This window comes from Homo sapiens, chromosome 11 (assembly GCF_000001405.40).
Source record: "Homo sapiens chromosome 11, GRCh38.p14 Primary Assembly".
Classification (NCBI taxonomy): Eukaryota; Metazoa; Chordata; class Mammalia; order Primates; family Hominidae; genus Homo; species Homo sapiens.
This window is the reverse complement of record NC_000011.10, coordinates 113,402,464-113,426,066: the sequence shown is the minus strand read 5'-3', so window position 1 is coordinate 113,426,066 and position 23,603 is coordinate 113,402,464. Positions and strand designations below refer to the sequence as shown.

Below are 23,603 nucleotides of genomic sequence, written 5' to 3'. Positions count from 1 at the left end.
TAAATTACAGCCAAAACATCACTCTCCTCTGAGCTCTCTTCTACACCATACACTTTCTAGAACACCAGTCCAATAGGGTCATGTCTCTGGGCCCAACCTCTCAGGGACTCTCCAGCTGACAAGACACAATCTGGCCTGTAAATGTCCCTGCAGTTTAATTATCCTCAACGTTACTGCCATACCCTACATTTTTGGCCAAACAGAATTGTTTGCTGTTTGATGATTTGATACCATGTCATATTGTCTGTCTGGAACATCCCCCCACCCCTCTCATTTAGCAGGCTAAGTCCTCCTTCTACTTCATCCCAGATGATACCCACTTCAGGAAGTCTTTCCCTTCTGTGGGATGAGATGCCCATTCTGCAGGGCTTTCACTCCCTGCATCCTGCCAAACCTCATCATCTCTTACCTGGATTCCTGCTACAGCCTCCCAGTTGGTGTCCCGCTTCCACTCTGGGCCCCTCCTCTCCGTTCTCCACAGTGCTGTCAGAATCACCTATTCGAAAGGCGAATCTGATCATGTGGTTCCTGCTGCCCTTAGGATCATGTATAAACTCCTAGCATGACTTTTAAGGCCCTCTATGATCTTGCCTATTGCAACCTCCCCAGACTCAACCCTTGCCAGGTCCCTCTGCATCAGCTATCCAGAATCTCTTTGAGGCCCTCCACCTGCTGTCTACCTCTCTACCTCTGTGCTTTGCATATACTGCTTCCAATGTCTAGACCTTCTGCTGACTCCTAGTTCTTTACCTGGCTAATTCCTACACATCCTTCAGTTGTTTGTCTGTTGAACATCACTTCCTCTAGAAAGCCTTCCCTGAATACCTGAACTAGGTTATGTATCTCTCTCCCTGTTCCATTTCCTACTCCCTATCACCCTTAGATGTAATTGCTTGATTAATTGGCTGTTGTTTCTCCTAGAATGTGAGCTACAGAACCATGTATATTTTGTTCCTGCCTATATTTCTAGAACTATATAGAACAATGCTTAATAAATATTTATAGAATCAAGAATGAATGAATACCCATTTCTGTTTCGATGACTAGAAGGTAGCAAGCCTGGTTAACTGAAGTGTGTGGTGCATGGGTCGTGCTTAAGAAGTGTTTGTTGAATGAATAAATAAATGATGGATCAGCTCTGTTCAAGCTCATCTTATTATGCATTTTTAAAAAATTGTGTTTGCTCATTTGTCCTACCAGCTGTAAAAACTTGCTAGCAAAAGAGTGGCAGAAGGCCCAACATTTTTAGAAAATTCTTAGCCGTAAACCTTAAAATCCCGAGTTGGAAAATTCTCATTATTAAATGCCAGGAGTTGGTCTTCTTCCTGGAGACCTCTGCAAGAGGCCCTCTCACTGACACCTTGTGTCCATTTTTCCTGGCCAGAGCCTGGCCACCCAGTGGCTCCACCGCCCTGATGGATCCACTGAATCTGTCCTGGTATGATGATGATCTGGAGAGGCAGAACTGGAGCCGGCCCTTCAACGGGTCAGACGGGAAGGCGGACAGACCCCACTACAACTACTATGCCACACTGCTCACCCTGCTCATCGCTGTCATCGTCTTCGGCAACGTGCTGGTGTGCATGGCTGTGTCCCGCGAGAAGGCGCTGCAGACCACCACCAACTACCTGATCGTCAGCCTCGCAGTGGCCGACCTCCTCGTCGCCACACTGGTCATGCCCTGGGTTGTCTACCTGGAGGTAGGTGGGCCCCCTGCTTGCTCCAGCACTTTCTCCAGCAGGGCCCTGCACTGGACACTGGGGACTCTAGCTCCCCACTGGCTTTTACCAATGAGTTTCCTGGTGCTTCCCCAGGTGGTTTTTCCTTCACTCTGGGCTTACTTTTTCTCCTTACGAAATGGGTAGATTGTTTCCTTAATAATCCCAACTACCATTTGTAAAGTGCTTACTAAGTGCTGGGCCTCACGTAGGGACTTTAAATATAGCATTTTCCTATATAACCCTCACAGCAGCTTAGAGGCTGGCATTATTGCCACCATTTTGCAGTTGATAAACCAGGTGGTCAGAGATGTTAAGTAACTGCTGCAGCATCACACGGCTGGCAAGTCCAAGCTGGAATTCTGGCCTCAGAGTTAGTTCCTTAGGTCATATTGGAAATAGGAGTAACCGGCAAGGATCCCCAAGGAGGGGCATGTTTATGCTCCCAGGCCCCTGAAACCTTCACTCCCATCTCCCCACTTCAGAAATGGGTCTGCTGCTTTATGCTCCCCATATCCCCTCTCCTTCCCACAGCTTATCCTGGGGCCCTGTCCAGGACCTGCAGGTAGAGGCTGCCATGGACTGTGCTGTAGCCCTTTTGTTAGGAAGAATTGTGTAGTCACTCATTTCTTGGCCCAGCTCTGCACCTCAAAATGGGGAGTAGGCAGCACAGTCTAGACACTGTGCCTGGTGCATTGCTGACACAGACCCAGTGAATACTCTTGGTAACCCTGGGAGTCCATGCTACTCTTCTCACTTTACAAAATAGGAAACAGGCCGAGCACGGTGGCTCACGCCTGTAATCCTAGCACTTTGGGAGGCCGAGGCAGGCAGATCACGAGGCCAGGAGTTCAAGACCAGCCTGGCCAACATGGTGAAACCCCATCTCTACTAAAAATGCAACAATTAGCCAGGTGTGGTGGCATATGCCTGTAATCCCAGATACTTGGGAGGCTGAGGCAGGAGAATTGCTTGAATCTGGGAGGCAGAGGTTGCAGTGAGCTGAGATCATACCATTGCACTCCAGCCTGGGCGACAGAGCAAGACTCTGTCTCAAAAAAAAAATAAAATTAAATTAAAACAAAAACAAAATAGGAAATAGAAGCTTTGGAGAAGTTGCCTTTCTTCACCCAGGTCACAGGGAGAAATGCTGATGGAGAAATCCCAAAGCAGATATTATTCTCCAGGAAGACACCTTCAGAGCCAGCGAGCAGATGTGGGAGCATTTAGGGATCATCGGTGGGCACAAGCTGGATCCTGCCCCTTTCTCTGCCCAGCTTTCTAGGATGGCATGTCCAGGACTCAAGCAATCTGGGAGTCTAGGTGCATGGGAAGGCATGGGATCAGGCATTTAGGAAAGTGCCGGTGCTCTGCCCACTGAACCGTTACCTTCCTTCCCTGAGCAGGAGAGGAATTGACCAGTGCCTCTGAGGCCATCCCTGCCTGAGAGGGAAGGGGTTGTTGAAAGAAAATGAGAAAGCTTTGTAGGTTTAAACAGGGGAGAAATCTAGATGAGGACGCTCAGGTGAGGAGGCGAGACTGGTGGAAAGTGGCACACCTCCCTGTCCCTGGGCCCCCAAGGGGCTCGTGCGCTTACTGTTCTCACCACCACCCCGGGCCCAAGGGAGCTCTGATCCATCACCCCTTGGCTTCCTTTACTACAGCCAATGCAGGCTGCAACTTCCAAAATGACCTGACTGGATATTAAGGAAGAACCAAAAGGAAACACAAATACAAAACCACATAAAAATATTCAGTTGACACAGGCCAGGAGTCCAATTCCCCCTGGATCCATGTTTATGAGGGCCCCTAGACTCTGTCCATGCCTTCTTAATTCTTACGCTTGATCCCCTCCTTCTTCCCTCTTCCAAAGGAGGGTCCTAGGTCTCAGACCATAGGGAAAAATGGTAGAGCAAACAAACTCTCTGTGCCTCAGTTTCCTCATCTGGAAAATGCAGATAATAATAGTATCATACATCATAGCATTGTTGAGGATCGAATTAGTTGATGTATGAAAAGTGATTAGAATGATACATGGCTCACAGTGAGCACTGTGTAAATGTCAGCCATGGCGATGATGATAAAGATGAAGATGACAATAGACATCCAGCACTGCTCCACATAGGGAGGACTCTGTCTTTCCTATTCACCGCCCCCTTGGGATAAAGAGGAAGGAGAGAGTACTCCCTATGTTCGCCCCAGGCAAGTAGGTACCCTCTTCCCAGAGGAACGTGTGTTCTACCCAGGGCTCTGGGCATGGCTTCTGTTAGCTTCCAGACCCCCTGTCCCTACCCAGGCACTTGGGTAGGGACAAATCCATACATGGGCTATAGGGGGTTCCCAGGAATCTGTAAGTCTTTCGAACAGATCCTTTAAACATGCTTGTTCACCTTATTTTAAAGGTGAAGCTGAGTGTGTCAGGGGAGGAGGGTGCAGAAGCCATTCTCAGAGGGCAGGGCTCAGACTTCCCCACAGCATCTCATCAAACTAGAGCTGGGCACTGAGCCTTGTTTAATGGACATTATCTCAGCGATTTGTTGTCCCTAGAGAACGTCCCAGGTGACGTCTCACCCTGCCCTGATGTCCTATCAGCGCACCCTCACAACCACGCACTGTCCCCTCTCTAATACATGCTCTTGTCATCCAGATTTTTTCCTCCTGTTCCATTTCCAGCAATGCCATGCCAACATCTGTCTGGCTTAGGACTAAGTGTGCGTTATTTATCTTGCTAAGTGTATGAAAAGCACGCTGGTTTTGGAGTGAGAGGACCAGGTTCAATTCCCAGCTCCATTCCTTTCCATCTAGATGCTATTGGAAGAGTTCCTGATGTCCACATGTGCCATTCCATGTCAGCCTCACAACCCTTTAAGGAGCGGCTTCCTGTGTGCATTTATTTTCTAGATGAGGAGATTGAGAAGATGAACAAATATCTCAGAGTTATTCATTCACTCAGTCAGCACTGACTGAGCACTCCGAGGTCTTACCCCAATCCTTGTGCAATGGGCTAAGGCACTGACCTGCTGGGGATGCAGAGGTTGACAGGGCCCCTACAGTGCAGTCTGCTGCCGGTGACAGTGGAGCAGTCCCCATAGGAGGTGTGGGGCATAAGGCCCAGCATGAGGGTGTCAGGGAAGACTTTCAGGGAGAAATGATGCTTTCGGAAAAATTATGCAGGAGAGGGAGGGAGACACTTGCATTCTCAAGAAAGCCACCCAGCAGGGAGAGGGAGTAGCTGGCTGGAGGTATGGAGGAGAGGTGGTTATGTCATTTGCCTCTGAGGCTTACTGTCTGCATTCTAAGATATAAGCATCAAGTGTTTGGAACAGTGCCTGACACATGGTAAGTCCTTAGTATTATTACAGTTATTAGGACTTAGCTGAGCCAGCTCAGGGCCTGTACTGCAGGTCTCAGCTTTATGTGAGCAAGAGCATTAAGGAATGATGCCTGGATGCCTGGGGGTGTGAAGAAAAGAGCCTTGGGTTCGACTAGGGAACCTGGGGCCACTCCTTCCTCTGCTACTAAATCACCAAGTGATCTTGTTCTGTTTTCTTCTCTGACCCTCCCTAGTTTTGTCCACCCTTGAAATAATCATCTTTCCTTTTCACATTTCATGCTTACCAAGTACTTGTCACCTAATTATCTCCTCTCTTGATAAGCTAGATGGTCCCTTCCAGGGCAGCTTAGTAGAGAGCATGGGATGTGATGTTTCAGATTCCAGCTCTGCTGCACACCTGCCAGGTGAACTTGGCCACGTTACATGGCCTCTCTGGGCTTCAGTTCCCTCACCTATGAGTGGGATAAGCAAGCCCTTCTTGTAAAAGTTTTAAGAACGATACATGAGATAAAGTGCAATGCCCACAGTAGATGTCTTATGGACAGTGGCCACCAATGCATTTTCTTGAGTCTTTAAGTTAGCAGCCCTAACTACTCTCCAAGGCAGCTTCCCCTGGGACCACAGAGGAAATCTCTTTGTTATTCTGGGCTCCAGATAGGCCAGTGCAAGGAGAGATTTAAGATGTCCATGAAGGCAGGACTGTGTCTGAATTGCTCACAACTGTGTCCAGGAGCCTAGGATAGAGGCTGGAACACAGTAATTTGCTCAATAAGTGTTTGTAGGAAAGAAGGGATGGCAGAAAGGAGGGAAGGAGAGGAGGAAGACAGGGAGGAAGGCCCTGATATCTCAACCTAGATCCCCAGTGGCTCCCAAGTACTGGTCCCAGGAGGGGCTTCAAAGTGGGATGTAAATCAGGTAGTGCTGGTTTTCTGCCCAGTGGTACCCTAAAGGCACACTCTGTTTATGCCAGGAAAGCCCTTTACGTACCCTCCTGCCTCCACCCGCAAAATGGGCATCCAGCTGTTAGCTCCTGCCAAACTGGTCAGCGCAGCAGCACAGGGAGCTGGGAGAGAGGCCCTGGTACGGGGCCCCCATGTGAGCTCCCAGGAAGACAGTGCCGCATGAGAGGCTTGCTGTGTTCTGGGGCAAGCTGCTGTTTCTGCCACACAGGATGACAGCAGCTGCATTGCCCATCATTGAGCTTAAATGCCAGCATTTGGTTGGATGCCTAGGAGCAGAAGAGAGGGCAGTGATCAGAATGAGCAAGGTTATAATTAGCCCTGCTGCCAAGCTACACGGTGACACGAAGTCTGCCCTACTCCGGGTTGCGGGAGGGGGCTTTCACGCTCCTCTCTGCTCCTATTGGTAGAAGCCAAAGGTGCATCTCCCTGTCCTGACTCCATCCTCAGGGAACTGGGGCTGCTCCAAGCTTCCAGAGCGCTAGGGACAGCTGCCGTGAGTGTGTGCCTGCGTAATCTGCCATGAGTGTGTGCCTGTGTGTGAATGGGTGTTACGTGGGGAGGGGGGAGGGCGGTGCGTTCATGTGTGTGTGTGTGTGTGTGTGTGTGCCTGTGTGCATGTGTGTATGAGAAACGTGCTCCTGCCAGGAGCTAGACTCTTCATTTCCCATCCTACCAAGGACACAGCTCATCACAGCAACCCCTCCGCCTACCCCAGCCCACTCGGGTGTTCCTCGAGCACTAGCCCAGATCTGCCTTCTTTCGTTCTCTGGGTATAAGAAGGAGCAGAAATTTCTTCTCTGTTTCATGGCGAGTCTTCATCTTCACCATTATTCTTAACAGATCATTTTGGGGCCCCGACTCTGCCATGTACTGGGCCAACCACTGAAGGGCTTGCCTGGCTCAGCCAGAGCCTGGGCCAGAGCAGGACTAGGAACTGAGCCCACAGGCCTTGGGGAAATCACTGCACTTTTTGGAGGCTTGGTTTCCTCATTGGTTCTCAGTTTCCTCACGGGCATTCTAAAATTTTACCTGGAATCTAATTTACAGAGGTATGGCTGAGTGATAACACAGGGAAGCCAGTGCCATTGGGAAGAGTTTAACGTGATACACAATGTCCCTAGAAACCAGATGCTCAGCCCGCCATGTGGGGTGCAGGGGGAAGCAGCAGGCTTGGGTCAAGAGTCAGAATCAGGGGTGAGGGAAAGCCCAGGCTACAGCCCTGTTGGGGCTCCCACAGGAAGTGCAAGGCAGGGCAGATTAAGCAACCTAGGGTTGGCTAGTCTCAACATCCTGGCAGGCTTTGGGCTACAGGGGTGATCTCTAGTTGTCTCTCTGGTACCTGAGATAATTTGGGACAGGGGAAATATTGTCTTGGTGTGTGTGTGAATTAGAGAAACGGGGTGGCTGGCTTGCATTTGAGAGGCATCCTTCCAAGTCAGTCATTTTCTGTCTTCAGGAATTAACTAGCTCTGGGACAGTAAGTCTCTCTCTGGGTCTGTGAGGCTCCCAAGTGCCAGAATATCAGGATCAGAGAAGATAGAAAAATATAGTCAATATAGGTGTCTCTGTGATGAATGGGTGCCAAATACACAAATACAGAATCTAAGAAAACACATGGGGTTAACAAAGGTTGCAGAGATTAAGGTTTAAAGTTGAGGCCCTCCGTATAAGTTGGCTGTCTTTCTTCTAGCACAGTAATTGGCAATAAGTGGTCTTATGTATCTGGGAGAAGATAAGCGAGGGGCAAGGGCCTCAGACACCCATGGGCATCACTCCCCACACCCCAGCTGGATGCCCACAAGACTTGCAGCTGCCTCCTGAGTCTGTGGCCTCATCGGCTCCAGGAGTACCAGGCTACAGGACCTAAGCTAATCTCCCACTCCTGCTGTCCATCCATTATGTTGCTTTGTCCCCAGGTGGTAGGTGAGTGGAAATTCAGCAGGATTCACTGTGACATCTTCGTCACTCTGGACGTCATGATGTGCACGGCGAGCATCCTGAACTTGTGTGCCATCAGCATCGACAGGTGAGCCCAGCCAGGGTGGAAGAGGTTGCTCTGGCCACTCACCATTCTGGCTGCCCCAGCTTTTCTCAAAGCCAGGCTGTGTCTCGTGTCTGTGATGCTGTGCAGCTGGCTGTGTGCATGGGGGTCCATGTGTTTGTGTGTATGGGTGTGCATGTGTGTATGTTTGGCTAGGAGAGCACACACTCCCTAAAGAGAAGCCATCTATGGACAGTGATGCTGCCAAGCATACTCAGACAGTGACTGGTACAAAAGGGGAAAGATTGTGATTCTGACGGAAGCCCTAGCTCTAGCACATCTTACTCATGTGACCTTGGGCAGATGATGGACGTTTTCAGAGCTCTCAGTTTCATTTTCTAGAAACCTACATTGATGACACCTGTGGCCTGGAGCTGCAGTATCTGGTTATGCATTTTATGTCCTTGGCACATGGCCAAGGGTCCCAGGCCATGCACACCTTGCTAAGCTGCATCCTTGGAGCCTTCCACTAATTTGCACAGATATGACCCTACCTCCCTCACACCATTCTTGGAAGATGAAATAAGTTAATGAATGAGAAGGGCTGGGTAAAAAAAAAAATGTGATGAAGGATTGTAGACAATTGCCATTGTTATTTCCTGCTAACTAAGGCTTAAATCTTGCTCTGAGGGGCCTGGCTAACAATTTATCAACAAACATTTCCACCTTATGGGCTCAACACAAGTGCAGTGGGTACAGTTTCAAAAGTGCAAAGATGCAGGCCATGGTTCTTCGAAAAGCCTGAAATCCAGGTGGGGCCGGTTAGAATAATAGATATGAGCTAAGAGTAAACAATAGCTCACCAGTGATTAAGTGTTTGGGCTTTGCCAACTGTCCTCGCCATCTGAGTTTGGGGACAGGAGGGAGGGTTGAGTTAGCATCTCAGGCAAGCTTCATAGAGGTGTGTCAACTGTTTAGCCCCAAGGAGTGAGGGTGTCTCTGGTGTGTGCATATTGTGGAGTGAGGGGTCCCTGGGCCTGCACCCCAGATTCAGGGTCCCCCGCCCTTGCAGGTACACAGCTGTGGCCATGCCCATGCTGTACAATACGCGCTACAGCTCCAAGCGCCGGGTCACCGTCATGATCTCCATCGTCTGGGTCCTGTCCTTCACCATCTCCTGCCCACTCCTCTTCGGACTCAATAACGCAGGTACATTCTGCTTTTGTTTGCCTGAGGCTCAGCTGGCCCTGGGCCCCTGCTCCCTCGAAGGGCCCTGAGGGAGCAGAGTCCCTGGCACAGATATGGGTGGAGGCCCAATGGAGGCCTATCACTACCCTGGACTGAGTCCAGGCTACGTGTCCTGGGCCAAGCCCCACTCAAGAGTTGTTCTAGGTTGGCAGAGAGGAAACAGTGGCCCAGGACACAACGGAGTTGGATGAGGAGTGGGGATAATGGTTCAGGGGTATGTCTGGGAATTTTCAACTTTGGTTATTAAGTTGAAGAGGCAAGACGTGCTTCACAAACTGCATGTGTGTATATGTGCACATGAACATGGGATGGCGGAGGCTACTGGGCTTCCATCCACTCCTGACAATAGTATTTTTGTAATGAAGCTGCAGCCCTCAGGGCCTGCTAAACCCAGGTCAGGCCTTAGCCACCTGGAGCAGGAAAGCTAGAAGTGAATAGGAGGTAAGCTGACCACATGCCCATTTCTGTGGGAGGCAGAGTCAGGAGTGTCTCAGACAGAGGCAACACAAAGCCCCCGCCAGCGTGGAACTTCCTCTCATCAGGGAGGCAAGAGCGATGGCAGGTGTGCACCTCTGGAGATCGTAACAACAAAAGATACAGTGAAGCCTTGAAAATGTGTGGTTCGGTATCTATTATAAGCATCACAGGAATTCTAAGTGGGAATAACACTAAACATACTTGGATTAATGCACAAGGCCCTGAGATAGAGGACAGGCGTCTGGTAGACCTAGAAGGGCACGCAAACATATGAAACACATAGGAACACAAGTGAGTTCAACAGACAGAGCCAAGTTATCTTGCTGCAAACATTAAAAGGTGGCCAACCTCTCCCAATACACAGGTCAGACTAAAAAGATGGTTTACTCTTTTAAAAGTTTTCTTGTGTCATTCTTTCTGGATACATCGGCTTCACTTGTTATGCCCAGACATGGCAAAACTAATGACCAAGTAATGAGGGAATAGTAATGGAAAGACTTGGGAGCAGTCCATCATCACAGCTTAACTTTTTGCTCACAACCGTGTTTTTAATACTCTGGTATCTGCTGTGCGTTTGTGTATATCTAAGATGACCAGGCAGCCTTAAACATCTAGTTGCGTTCATATTCTCTGTAAAATCGCTCCTTGTTCCTGGAAGGACATGAATGGGCTCTTGTGGAATTATGGCCGGTGGGCCCGCTGACTCCCTGCCTGCCCGGGCTCTCCCTCCCCCAGACCAGAACGAGTGCATCATTGCCAACCCGGCCTTCGTGGTCTACTCCTCCATCGTCTCCTTCTACGTGCCCTTCATTGTCACCCTGCTGGTCTACATCAAGATCTACATTGTCCTCCGCAGACGCCGCAAGCGAGTCAACACCAAACGCAGCAGCCGAGCTTTCAGGGCCCACCTGAGGGCTCCACTAAAGGTCTCAAGACACCCCCCAACCAACTCCAAGGGTCCCCACCTAACCATTACCAAGAGGGCTCATCTTATGCTCAGGTGGGGGCTTGGGAAACCTCAGCAAGGGTTAGGTCTAGGCTAAAGGAATTCCCAGGAGCCGGGCAAGGGCAGATTTTGAAGGCATGGACCTCAGTGGAGCAATCTGAGTCTCCAGGAGAGGGAGGCAGGGTCCATGACACTAAATAACAAGGGGAAGTCTTTGCTTGGAGATCTTTGTGACTGAAGGCGGCAACTCTTGCTTGGTACCCCCGTGGGCTCCTCTCTTCCTCTTTTCTGGTTTCTCTGTCTCACTTTAGCTCCCTCTGACTCCTCCATCCTCTTTCCTTTACCTTCCGTACTCTCTGTCCTCCCCTCCAAACACACATCACTTTTCCTGACTTCCTCTCCACTATGTCTCTCCTGTGCTTCTCTTTCATTTCCCCCCTGATGTCTTGTGAATTCTCCCCTTCACTCAGTCCTTCACAAGGAAGACAGTGTGTGGGCACAGAAGGAACAAGAGCTCTTGGGCTAGACGCATCAGGTTCAGATCCTGTCACTGACACTTTTTTTGCTGAGTGACCTTAGGCAAGTTGCTTACCTTCTATGAGCCTGTTTCCTCATCTGTTAAATGGGAATCAAAATACCAGCCTCACAGGGTGGTCTTGAGGATTCCACGTGAGAAGGGACGTGAGTGTGCCTAGCACAGTGCCAGGCCCTTAGCAGGTGCTCCATAAAAAACCAGGTCCTTGTGTTCCTCGTCATACCCACCACTTTTTGTCTCATTCCAGCCTTCCCCCTTGCCCCAACTGCCTCCTCTGGCCCCCACCCTCCTGATCTCTGAGCCCTTCTGCCCAGTCTGAGTTCCATGGACTGCTGCACTTTGGGTTTCTGTCCCCCCTCCATCCCCACCACTTTGTGTGACCCATGTGCTGGCTCACTCCACAGGGCAACTGTACTCACCCCGAGGACATGAAACTCTGCACCGTTATCATGAAGTCTAATGGGAGTTTCCCAGTGAACAGGCGGAGAGTGGTAAGTGCTCAGGCCAGGGACCCAGAGCCAGGTCTTTCTGCCCCTAGGGAAGCCCACTGGCCATGGTTCTGAGACCTCAGAAGCTGGCCAATGGGAGAAGCACCCCAGAAACCCCCACCTTGCCTCAGCTGAAGGCAGACTCACCGTGCACACCTCCAAGCAGGCATGAAGTGAGACACCTCGGTTCTGCAAGGCATGGATGTGTACGAGAAAATGGTTGGCCATACCAACGTAATAAAAATGATAATAATGGCTATTCACATTTCTCAAACATCTACCATATCCCTATTATCTCATCAAATCCTCACCACGACCCCGGGAGGTAAGTCTCTTTGATCGAACCGATCTTCAGTTGACAGAAGAGGAAACAGGCTCAGAAAGATTAGGCAACTCACCCGTCTCAAGAGTTGGTGACACTAAGCCCAGACCTGTGTGACTCTGAAATCCACACCTGTGTTCTTTCCACTGACATGAGCTGCCTTATGGATGGGCAGGTTCTGGGGTAGGACGCAGCAGAGCAGCTGCGGGGACTGGTGGCGGAGCAGTTTGTGTACATAGAGCCCTCAGGTGCGGAAGCACAGCAGACCCCAGCCTCTGCCAGGTGGTAGCTGTACCAACATGCAAGCAGCAGGCATTCCATCCTCCAGAGGGATGGAGAACAGGGCCAGAGAACCCACAGAGGGCCGCATACAAAATCCAGGTCTGGTGTCCTGCCTTCACCTGCACTGCAAGGGCAGGACTCTAAGAAGCTGTTTATGAGGCAGGTGCCAAAACAGAGCCTCAGAGTCAGGGCCAAGGCAGCAGCCCAGTCATGCCACCTAGGCACATAGTGAGGCTGCACTTTAGAAGTTCAGACTAACACCTCCAAGGCCTCAAACAAGAGAACCTATGGAAGAACCCAGGAGGCCATGAGTGGATCCATGCCAGGGCTCTCTAGGTCACCCCAGCAGGGAAGATGTGGGGCCCCAGGGGTCAGCCTTTTGGCACCTAGATTAGTCTATCCAGGAGAATATGGAGCCCACGTGTGTACGCAGGTGCAGGTACCCATGAAGTGGGAGCACTGGGCCCCTTGTTTGACAGGGAGAACAGGGGTGGGCACCCTCTTTGCAGTCGGAACATGAGTTTCTGGAGGCAGGGCCAAACATCATCAGCTCTTGACCCCAGCAGCCACTGTGGCACCTGGCACTTTGCTAACAGTAAGTGTTGCTCAGGCCATGAGAGACAAGTCCCTGGTATTCAGCCCTGGCAGAACAGAAGTGGGGTATTGAGGCTGCATGAGGATTGCCATGGGAAAAAGGACAGGGGCAATCCTGCAGGGGCTGCCATGGGTCCTGGGTCCCATGCCTCAGTGACATCCTTGCCTCCCTGGCAGGGTGACCCTGTGGTGTTTGCAGGAGTCTTCAGAGGGGGAAAGGGAGGGGCCAGTGAGATGGGTGGCTGATGCCTGGGAACTTGTCCGGCTTTACCCAGAGCCCTCTGCCTCTGGTGCAGGAGGCTGCCCGGCGAGCCCAGGAGCTGGAGATGGAGATGCTCTCCAGCACCAGCCCACCCGAGAGGACCCGGTACAGCCCCATCCCACCCAGCCACCACCAGCTGACTCTCCCCGACCCGTCCCACCATGGTCTCCACAGCACTCCCGACAGCCCCGCCAAACCAGAGAAGAATGGGCATGCCAAAGACCACCCCAAGATTGCCAAGATCTTTGAGATCCAGACCATGCCCAATGGCAAAACCCGGACCTCCCTCAAGACCATGAGCCGTAGGAAGCTCTCCCAGCAGAAGGAGAAGAAAGCCACTCAGATGCTCGCCATTGTTCTCGGTGAGTCGGCCCTGGCTGCTGGCCACAGCCCGGTCTGTGAAAGGTCCCATTCCCTGCCATGTCCTTCCTAACCATGGCTGCAGGATCATGGGGCTAGCATTTCCTCAGGCACAGGCCAAGCCCATTGACATACAGACAGCCCTATTAGGTAGATTCTGTAATTGTGCTCACTTTACAGATGGGCAAACAGAGTTTTAGAGTGGTTATAAAACCTGACCAAGAGGACCCATGGTTTGAACTCAGGCAGTCTGACTCCAGAGTCTGGAAATTTGACTAGTCTATTATGCTGGCACCAGAACCTCATGGGCCTATGTGCCCAGGAAAGTCACTTTCTCTCTCTAGGCTCCTCATCTGTAGAGTAGGTTACTTCTCAGGGCTGTCATGGCAATCAGTTGGTGAAAGCATTTTCTAAACTACAAAGCACTATCCATATGTAAGTGTCACTATTATGGTTTTTATTACTATTGCTCTTTTTGAGGAATTGGGAAATTCAGTTCACTTGCACTCAAACAAGACTCCATGGGACCAGAGCTGTGAAAAATAAATGAGATGTTGGGGAGTGGCCCCCAATCTAAATGAAAAGCATCCCTGTCCATAAAGCAGGATTTTTCAATAGAAGTCTAGAAAACCACATAGTAAAGGTCAAAACCCAAAAGGTGGACTGATATGGGTGGCTGGGAAAAGGAGGGTCCCCTGTGACTCTGTCTTCCAGGAAGCACCTGAATCCCCTTTGACTGCCGGATGATCCTGGGGCGTGAGTGGGGCAGCTGTTACCTCCCTTCTTTTATGAATGAGAGCACTTGATCCCATGGGACTACTCACGATCATGGGACTGGGATATGGTAGGCTAGGATTGGAGCCAGGCCCTCTGCTGCAGTCCATAGGGGCTCAGCTCTGTGGCCCTACTCTTCCCAGACACCATTCAGTCTCCAGGGATGCCTCCTGTGCCTGTAGGGCATTCCATGTACACATTGCTTCCAGGATAAATATCACACCTGTGCAGGAGGTCCTGGAAAAAGTGCACCTGAGTTAGGTGAGCAGAGCAGGTAGGTGGCTGCCCTGGGTGAGAGGGCATGGTTCAAGGCAGGGACTAGCAAGGGTGTACCCACCAAGACTGGGGAAATTGGGGGAAGGCTAGAGCGAGATCATCTGGGGACCTGGATAGACCGGAGTTCAGCTCTCAGCCTCGCTGCTCAAGAGTGAATGACCTTGGGTATATTGCAGAGCTGTTGTGAGTGTTTTTCTTATGTACCTTATGAGGATGCTATAAGAACTAAGTGGCATGGGTCTATAGCCCTCAAAGATGACCTGGAAGTAGAGTAGATATTTCCATTTCTACTGGCTAACCTGGGTCAGAATGGTAACCTTTTGGATTTATTGTTAAACCATGTACCCTTTTCTAGGAGGTGGGAAAGGGACAAATGAGGGAAGTGAGGCTGAAGGAGCTGAAGGGATACTTCACTGCAAATGGGTGTCAGAGGCAGGTCTAGGATCCAAGACCTGGACTCCTCCTACAGTGCTTCTGTGGCTACAGCCCACCGTCTTGGCATACGAGCCAGGGCGCACTGGGTGTGGGTGTTCCCAGCCGTGCCTCCCCGGCTCTGGGGACCAGCCTGACCATGCCCTCTCCCCCAGGCGTGTTCATCATCTGCTGGCTGCCCTTCTTCATCACACACATCCTGAACATACACTGTGACTGCAACATCCCGCCTGTCCTGTACAGCGCCTTCACGTGGCTGGGCTATGTCAACAGCGCCGTGAACCCCATCATCTACACCACCTTCAACATTGAGTTCCGCAAGGCCTTCCTGAAGATCCTCCACTGCTGACTCTGCTGCCTGCCCGCACAGCAGCCTGCTTCCCACCTCCCTGCCCAGGCCGGCCAGCCTCACCCTTGCGAACCGTGAGCAGGAAGGCCTGGGTGGATCGGCCTCCTCTTCACCCCGGCAGGCCCTGCAGTGTTCGCTTGGCTCCATGCTCCTCACTGCCCGCACACCCTCACTCTGCCAGGGCAGTGCTAGTGAGCTGGGCATGGTACCAGCCCTGGGGCTGGGCCCCCCAGCTCAGGGGCAGCTCATAGAGTCCCCCCTCCCACCTCCAGTCCCCCTATCCTTGGCACCAAAGATGCAGCCGCCTTCCTTGACCTTCCTCTGGGGCTCTAGGGTTGCTGGAGCCTGAGTCAGGGCCCAGAGGCTGAGTTTTCTCTTTGTGGGGCTTGGCGTGGAGCAGGCGGTGGGGAGAGATGGACAGTTCACACCCTGCAAGGCCCACAGGAGGCAAGCAAGCTCTCTTGCCGAGGAGCCAGGCAACTTCAGTCCTGGGAGACCCATGTAAATACCAGACTGCAGGTTGGACCCCAGAGATTCCCAAGCCAAAAACCTTAGCTCCCTCCCGCACCCCGATGTGGACCTCTACTTTCCAGGCTAGTCCGGACCCACCTCACCCCGTTACAGCTCCCCAAGTGGTTTCCACATGCTCTGAGAAGAGGAGCCCTCATCTTGAAGGGCCCAGGAGGGTCTATGGGGAGAGGAACTCCTTGGCCTAGCCCACCCTGCTGCCTTCTGACGGCCCTGCAATGTATCCCTTCTCACAGCACATGCTGGCCAGCCTGGGGCCTGGCAGGGAGGTCAGGCCCTGGAACTCTATCTGGGCCTGGGCTAGGGGACATCAGAGGTTCTTTGAGGGACTGCCTCTGCCACACTCTGACGCAAAACCACTTTCCTTTTCTATTCCTTCTGGCCTTTCCTCTCTCCTGTTTCCCTTCCCTTCCACTGCCTCTGCCTTAGAGGAGCCCACGGCTAAGAGGCTGCTGAAAACCATCTGGCCTGGCCTGGCCCTGCCCTGAGGAAGGAGGGGAAGCTGCAGCTTGGGAGAGCCCCTGGGGCCTAGACTCTGTAACATCACTATCCATGCACCAAACTAATAAAACTTTGACGAGTCACCTTCCAGGACCCCTGGGTAGAAGGCAGCAGTGCCACTTCTGTGCTTGGCATTCAAGTATAGCAAGACCCCTGTGTCTGCAGGGTCTAACCCAAGGGAAGCCAGGTTGCCCCCACTGCTCCACCTCCCCTGTTGCAGCTCCTGCTTCCTCTGAAGGACTCATCCTTTGCCCTCTTACCCACCAGGGCAGAGAAGGCTCTGTGGAAAAGGTGGCCTTGGATGCACTGGCATTGCCTGTGTCTGCCTATGTCCCTTGCCCTGTCTTCTGTCCCATGTCAGGATCCCCTTCCTCTAGGGCAGGCTGGGAGAAGCAGGGAAGGCCCTGACCACTGCGGCCTGGACAGTTCTCCCTCCTCTCAGCTTCCAGGCCGGTCCCAAGCTCCAAGCCTTCCGGGGCAAAAACTTGGTACTGCCCCGACAACAGAAACTTGGCTTTCTACAAATGAAGCGTAAATCAACCCAGTGAGGGAGGAATATTCTTACCACCTTGAGAATAACCGCAGTGATGACAAACAAGGTGCCAGCACCCACGGGCTCAGGCGCTGGGGAGCTGTCAGGGCGTAATTTGCATGCTAAATACAATATTTTTAGCACCAAAGTTTGGAGCACTTAACTTGCCCTGAACAGTTAATTATGGACTTTGATCTTCTCCTTAAACCTAAAGGTAGCACTAAGCCCTGGGAGAGGCTCCTGTCCCCAGGAGCACCCTGATTCTGGAAAGTGAGCAAAACAGGCCCCTAGTCTAACTCGGACTGGGTCATAACACCAAGGACCCAGTGACCATCTCCTCTGGAAAGCATCAGGTCCCCAAGGGGTCTAGAAGCCCCAGGGACCCAACCCATCCCCATTGCACACATACCATGCTCAAAGTCTGTGAAAGATCTTGGCCTGGATGGACGCTTAAAAGCATATCCCACAATTAGGAATCTTATGAGGGTATACAGGCTTATCAGATGTGAGGATTGGAAGAGATGACAAAGAGAAGCAGAGGAAAGAAGAAGGAAGGGAGGGAGGGAGAGAGGGAGGGACGGAAGGGAGACCCAGAGCAGAGTGAGAAGAGCATTGACAGGGAGCAGAGGGGAAGAGGGCAGGGCAGGGGCGGGAGGCGGGGCAGGGGAAAGTTGCCCACAGTTGTCACGAGGCTTCATGTCTTTCTGCCAGACAGCAGATTGACAGCTAGAGTGGGCAGGGGGAGGGCTGGGCTCCACCCTCTCCCCCTCTCAGCACTTCAGGGGCAAAGAAATGGGAGGAGTAGGACCCGACACGACACGGGAACACAAGGTGGAAGGGGGTGGCCCAGGCTCTGACTCTCTCCAGAGAGGTCCTGACGATGGTCTCTTGCTCTTGACGACAGGATGGAAAGGAAGCCTCCAGTTTTCACTCCTCTTTGCCTTTCCCTAGGTTTCTGTCTGTGCCTGTGCCGCTCTGTAGAGTGCCTTTTAATCAAAGGATCATTCATTTGCCTTTACAGCAGGTAGAGTCTGCACCCTTGTCCCCTGCCCTGCCCTTTCCTAGAGCACAGCCCAGGATCACCACCTAAGGGCCAGGCACAGTGGGGCACTTTGCATATGTCGTCTTAGATGGGAATGGAAATCACACAGTCACAAAGGAGCAGACCCAGAGGTAACTGCAAGTCTTCAAGGCTTCAGGCCCTCGTTCTTCCTCCTGGGTCCTGAAGGACTCTCAGGTGGCCCTGGGCTGGGGAAAGTTCCTGGGAATTAGAAGACGAGTTGTCTAGCAGACTAAGAAGTTGCATTGCTTCGTCCACCCATCTGCTGTCTTCCTTAGGGAATATTTATTGAGCAATTCTTGTGCTCCAGGCCCTGGGTGAGGTGCTGGGATTAAAACAGTCAACAATGGTCACCGGCCCTGCCTTCGTGAGTCCAGTCTAGTGGGATCACAACAAAGTGAGACTCTGCTTCCCCCAAGGCAGAGCCCAGGGACGGCAGACACAGCACAGGCACATGCTGCGCACTTCCAAGGCACCTTTCTCCTAGATGACGTGTGACACAGCAGCCCTGGTGTGCCTTGGCCTTGAACAATTAGGTAGGGCACCAGTAGGGGCAGGAAGACTGACAGCATGGACCACTACTTCCTGCGTGGCTGGGGCAGGAGGCCCTGAAAGAAGCAGCTACAGATCCTGCTTTCCAGGTGGTCTCACCACAGGCACAGCCAGTTGCCTGCAACTAAGAACACTGAAGCCCGGCCTGCTTTGGGGGCATTTCCAGCATCCCCTCCTATCTGGAATCTCTTCCCAAAACATCCCTGTCCCCAGGGACTGCATAGCTCCTTTCACCTGGTGGCCCAGCCCTCTCTGTGTGCCACTGGCTCCCTGCCCTCCTGGGTCCCAGGACCTGGGCTGAGTGTGCAACTTTAGCTTCCATCTGCACAGGGCCCTCTCTGCGGGCTTTGCCCTCCCTGATGGCATGTTCTTCTCCTAACCCACTGGAGTGAGGGGCATTCTTATCGTCTCCACTTACAGAAGAGAAGCCTCTCATACAGAAAGGGTAGTTTCCCTTTCAGGCTAAATCTTCTGATTTTACCTCTTATAGTGTCCATTCCAGCCCTGGCTTCTGACCAGCGTGAGTGCAGCTGAAAGAGGCTAGGATGGTCAGAAGATTTTTTTTAAAAGAGAAAGAATACTTGTTTTGGACCAGACCTGTAGGGTAACAGCCTGGGGTGCATGTAAACAGAACTTGGGCCTCTCCAGGGAGCAAGTGGGTAGGTGGTGGGGGCAGAGCAGTTATTAGTGGGGCTTCAGGAGTGAGAGGGCCAGTCTGGGCATCGGTGTGCCAGAGGGTCCTCTCCTGCCAACCAGGTGGACCTGGCTCTGCTACACTAGTTTCTGGGGGTGCAGGGGAAGCAGGAAGCTGGTGGGGGGAGAGTGGACCATCTTTGGAGTAGGGAGACCTATCCTGGCTTTGTGGGGTTAGAGGGGACGTGGGAAGGGGGTACCTGGTAGGAACAGCTTCCTGCTTCCTCTCTCATCACAGTTCTGCTACTTGGCAAATAAGGCCTCATTGGAGCAGAGGCCCAGAGAGGCGCAGGAGAGGGAATGGCAAGGAGGGATGTGGAGAGACCTTTCACTCACAGCTGGAGCCAGAGACAACCCCAAGTTCATAGGAAGTGCTGTGTGACCGCTCCACTTGCATGTGGCTTTCTCCCACTTTCACATCTGGCTTCTGACACCCAGAGCTGCGTGTGAGGCCAGGGAGAGGGGGCCACCTCCCTGGCACCCCAGGGCCAGGGGTGTCAGAGCTGCACAGGAAGTGAAGGAATGCTATCAGGAAGGGGGTGAGGTGGTGCCATTCCAGGAATGGGAGGGGCAGGGCCTGGGGCCACCGACTGTGCAGAGACAAAGCTGGGCCATCCATACCTTCTGGATTTTCCTGATCAGGCCCAACTCCAAACACTCTGTCCTGTTGCCCCCAGGAGTGTGTAAGTTGGGAGGGTCATTTGGGGGCCAGGCTCTGTGCTGCGTCCAGGGCAGGGGAAAGCATGGGAGGGGCAAGAGAGGCAGGACACTGCCCTGGAGAAGACAAGTCCCTTGTTGGTTTTCTCCCAGGGCTGACAGCACAGACCTGACCCAGGCTCTGGGTAGAGGAGGCATGACTGGCTAGTGGGGCTAGCCTTTGCCCTATAACTGACCTGATCCGTAGGTGTTTCCCAGGGGGCCTCGGTGTCTCAGCCTACACCAAGGCACTGAAGGAGAGTCTCCCTTTCCTTTCCTGAATGTATCGGCAAAGAAAAATGGGCAGAGGCTTCTAAGAGCATCCTTGCAAAAGGCTCCCAAGGGATGGGCTGTCTATGTCTTATTGCAAGAGAAACATTCCTCTGATTTAGGAGGAACTGCAAGAAATGAATGTGTTGAGTGCTTATTAACTGCCTTGCCCTCTGACTGGCAGGGCATCAGGTTTAATTCTTACAATGACCCAGAGATAAACATTATTGCTGCTAGATGATACCATCAAGCTAAGATAGTTTTAGCAACCTGAGATCTGCAACTAGTAAATGGCTCAGCGAAGACATGCACCCAGGTCTGCCTGCCCGAGTCCACTAGACCCAGCCACCCACAGTTTCCCTCCCCGACCTCAGCCCAGCCTGGTTCCTGCCCTCTGTCCCTAACATTACCTTACAGCAAAAACCCCTGCTGCCTGTAATCCGATTCAGCAAGCAGGGAGGAAGCACCCTCTGAGCTCCAGACACCAGGGCACTAAGAGAGGACTGGATGGAACACAGAAACAAGTAGGGCGTGGTGATGTGGCATGCAATGAGCAAGGAAGGTGGACCCAAGAGAAGCTCTGTCAACCTCACTGCACTGGGCATCGGGACAGAATGCCCCTGAGGAAGGAGTGAGCATCTCCAGGGGGCAAGCAGAGACGTCTTCGTGGGCAGGAACAGGCAAGTTGGATCTGGAAGGGCAGATCGGATCCCGGCAGGCACCGGTGGAAGAAGAGGACACAGCATTAGCAGGAAGAAGGGCCTGGGGTTGGTGGGTGCTGCAGCAATGCTGGCTGGGTTTCAGAGTGGGCTGGAGCCCTAACTCACTGGAGGCCCTCACTTATTGGTGAGATGTGTTCTATAGGTAAGCACAGGGGGCATCAGGAAAGGAATGTTCCTGAACACAAGATCACCTTGGAGCTGCCATCTGTGTGTTCAGGAAGTCCTGGGGCTCCCTCCTTCCTCTCCTTCTTGCCACAGGCCTGGAGCCCTGTTTCCTCCCCTTCTCAGCCCTGCCCATTATCATTCTCTTCCTGGAGCTCAGTGCCCTCAGGTTGGCTTTGGAGAGGGACACGGTCTCCCCAGTCTCCTCATTTCCCGTAGGCCTTTTCAGCCGTGAGGAGTTTTCTGCTGATCCCTGCAGTCCTGCCTCCCTTCAAGACAGTCGCGGCAGCCCGTTTAGGCCTCTGCCCTACACTTTGCTGTGGAGACAGCTTGCCAAGCCTCCCTGCTCCTTTAGGATTCCCAGCCTCATAACTGGAGGGTTCCACCAACAGCTTCCATCTCCCAGCACAAGAAGGGATCCAGGTGGAACAATCTCAGCTATCTGCATCTCTGGGGATGGCTAGGCTAGGGGATGCCATCTCCCAGGACCCAGGAATGTCCTCCTTGAGGTGGGCTGGATTGGATCAAGCACAGTTTAGGATGGGAAAGGAGGCTGTCATATGAGTAAAGGGTAATGAAGGGGTTACCTGAGTAACACTGGTGAGAAAGGACAGGAACAGAAAGCTGGAAGAGGAGAGAAGTGATGGTGAGTACCAATGTGTGCTGGAGATAGGCGTGATCTAATTGCATCCCCAAGATAACAAATCTGTTATAAATACAGATGCCGAAATCTGGAAAGTCTGGGTAAAGTCCACAGCTAGCAAAAGGCAGAATTGGGATGCCAAGCCAGGTGTGCCTTGCTCTGAAGCCCCATAGGGCAGGGTCCCCATCTCCCACCACTGTCCCCCATTTCCTCATCCTGCACACAGCTGAAGAGGTCTTTAGGATGCATGGCGTGTTCTGATTGCATCCTCCTTCTGCTGGGAAACTGACAGCAGCTCCCAACTGTCCCTCATCCTGCGTGGGAGCTCCCAAATCAGAATGAACATTAAGGTCTCTCCATTGAATACGCACCTCCCACACCTGCACCTCAACAGCACTGTCCCTCCTTCAGCTGGCCACTCTCTGCTCCCCATAGCAGCTGTGTCTCTTTCACATTCCCCAGCCAATCCTCTCCCCTTCTATCCAGTCCAGGCTTTGCTCCTCTTCTGCTCTGTCCTTGTCCTCATTCAACATATGCATCTTCCAGGAAAATCTTTCCTGATCGACCCCACGCAACATGGCAACTGCCTGGCGGAGGCAAGACAGGTATAGACTGTGCTGTCCACTGTCCCCATGTGGCTAGATACCCACATTTAATTTATTGAAATAAAAAAACTTGATTCCTTGGTTACACTAGCCACATTTCAAGTGCTCAGGAGCATCTGTGGCTGGCGGCTATCCTACTGAGCAGTGTGGATGTAGAAGGCTTCCATCCTCCCAGTGCTGATCCAGAATGGCTCCTAAGTTAGGAGTTTGGATACCTTCAACTAAAATAGGGTATAAAGGGTGAAGTCAGGCTTGTGGAGGGAGAAGGGAATGCTCAGTTTGGGACACTTTGAGTTGAAGGTCTACTCCTGTAGACCCCTTCAACTCAAAGTGTCCCAAACTGAGCATTCCCTTCTCCCTCCAAGTGGAGATGCCCAGTAAGAAATTGGGGAGCTCTTTCCCCCCGATCCCCAATCTCCCCTAAATAGGGCTTGAACTTCTACTGGAGACCCTCTCCTTGGGAATTTCAAGGGCCTCATTCAAACCCAATTTTAAACATCCCTAGGGAAGCTCTAGAAGGCAGCTGTGTTGAAATGGGACTCAAGGTGGATACCGTGTGTGTTTGTGTGTGTGTCTGTGTCTGGCTAGGAGTGGCTTGATAGGGCAGAAGAAGACACTGGTAGGCAATGAAGGGCCATGTTGTCCAGGGCTGGCCTGAAGTCACCTCTAAGAGTTATCTCTTAGAGGAAGGAAGTGGAGGAAGCAGGGGTGTGAGAATCTCTGCCTAGACTCAGGATCACCAGAGCTGAAATGATTCCCAGGGACAGTCCTGTCCACATCTCCACAGCATCCCTGCCATTCATTGGACACTAGGTGCAAAAGGTTCATCTACTTTTTCTAACTCTTTTTTTCAAGGCCTTTTCTCAGTTCTCAGCTCTTTCCAATAGGATCAGCCAGCCACTCTTCTCCCTCTTTGGTTCCCTCCTGATCACTCCCACTGATGGATCTGAGCACCCTTGGCTGGAAGTATGTAGCCCCAGAGCCTTCTCTGGCTCTCATAGAGTCCTAGATTTGGAGTTAGATCTGGAAGGGCAGATAGGATCCTGGCAGACACTGGTGGGAGACTTCAGAGTGCAAAGAGAAGCAAACAGCCCTGTGCCTCCTCCACTTCCCTCCTCTTGCTCCCGCATGTTCTGGGAAAGCTAGAACTCCTAGGGGAATCTTTAACTACAAGTTTTGCCTAAGGCTTAGTCTCAGTGAGACTAAAGAGATTGAGCTGGGCAGCTAGCAGGGAGTAGGAAGATGGAACAGTCAGCTGAGTGTCCCCTGAACCCAGTCGTCAGGAGTCCAAATGGAAGA

General features: G+C 52.1%; 1 protein-coding gene across 5 annotated transcripts in view, besides 1 other annotated feature; it reads left to right on the top strand.

The window, feature by feature from the left end:
• DRD2 (dopamine receptor D2) overlaps nucleotides 1-16,462 on the top strand; it is a 65,794-nt gene extending 49,332 nt beyond the window's left edge. For 2 of the 5 annotated variants that reach the window (NM_000795.4, XM_017017296.3), the window contains exons 2-8: nucleotides 1,385-1,700; nucleotides 7,931-8,040; nucleotides 9,068-9,204; nucleotides 10,456-10,646; nucleotides 11,606-11,692; nucleotides 13,184-13,511; nucleotides 15,147-16,462. In NM_000795.4, the coding sequence (NP_000786.1) occupies nucleotides 1,416-1,700; nucleotides 7,931-8,040; nucleotides 9,068-9,204; nucleotides 10,456-10,646; nucleotides 11,606-11,692; nucleotides 13,184-13,511; nucleotides 15,147-15,340 (1,332 nt within the window). In that variant the 5' untranslated portion in view covers nucleotides 1,385-1,415 and the 3' untranslated portion in view covers nucleotides 15,341-16,462. Of the gene's footprint in view, nucleotides 1-1,384; nucleotides 1,705-7,930; nucleotides 8,041-9,067; nucleotides 9,205-10,455; nucleotides 10,647-11,605; nucleotides 11,693-13,183; nucleotides 13,512-15,146 lie in introns of all 5 variants that reach the window. The other 3 variants (NM_016574.4, XM_047426511.1, NM_001440368.1) reach the window with 2 other exon arrangements.
• Nucleotides 8,417-8,466: an enhancer, noted in NCBI's record as "active region_5539". NCBI's record gives its function as "activates an Ori minimal core promoter by ATAC-STARR-seq in GM12878 lymphoblastoid cells {active_cell/tissue: GM12878}" and the evidence as "EXISTENCE:reporter gene assay evidence [ECO:0000049][PMID:35858748]".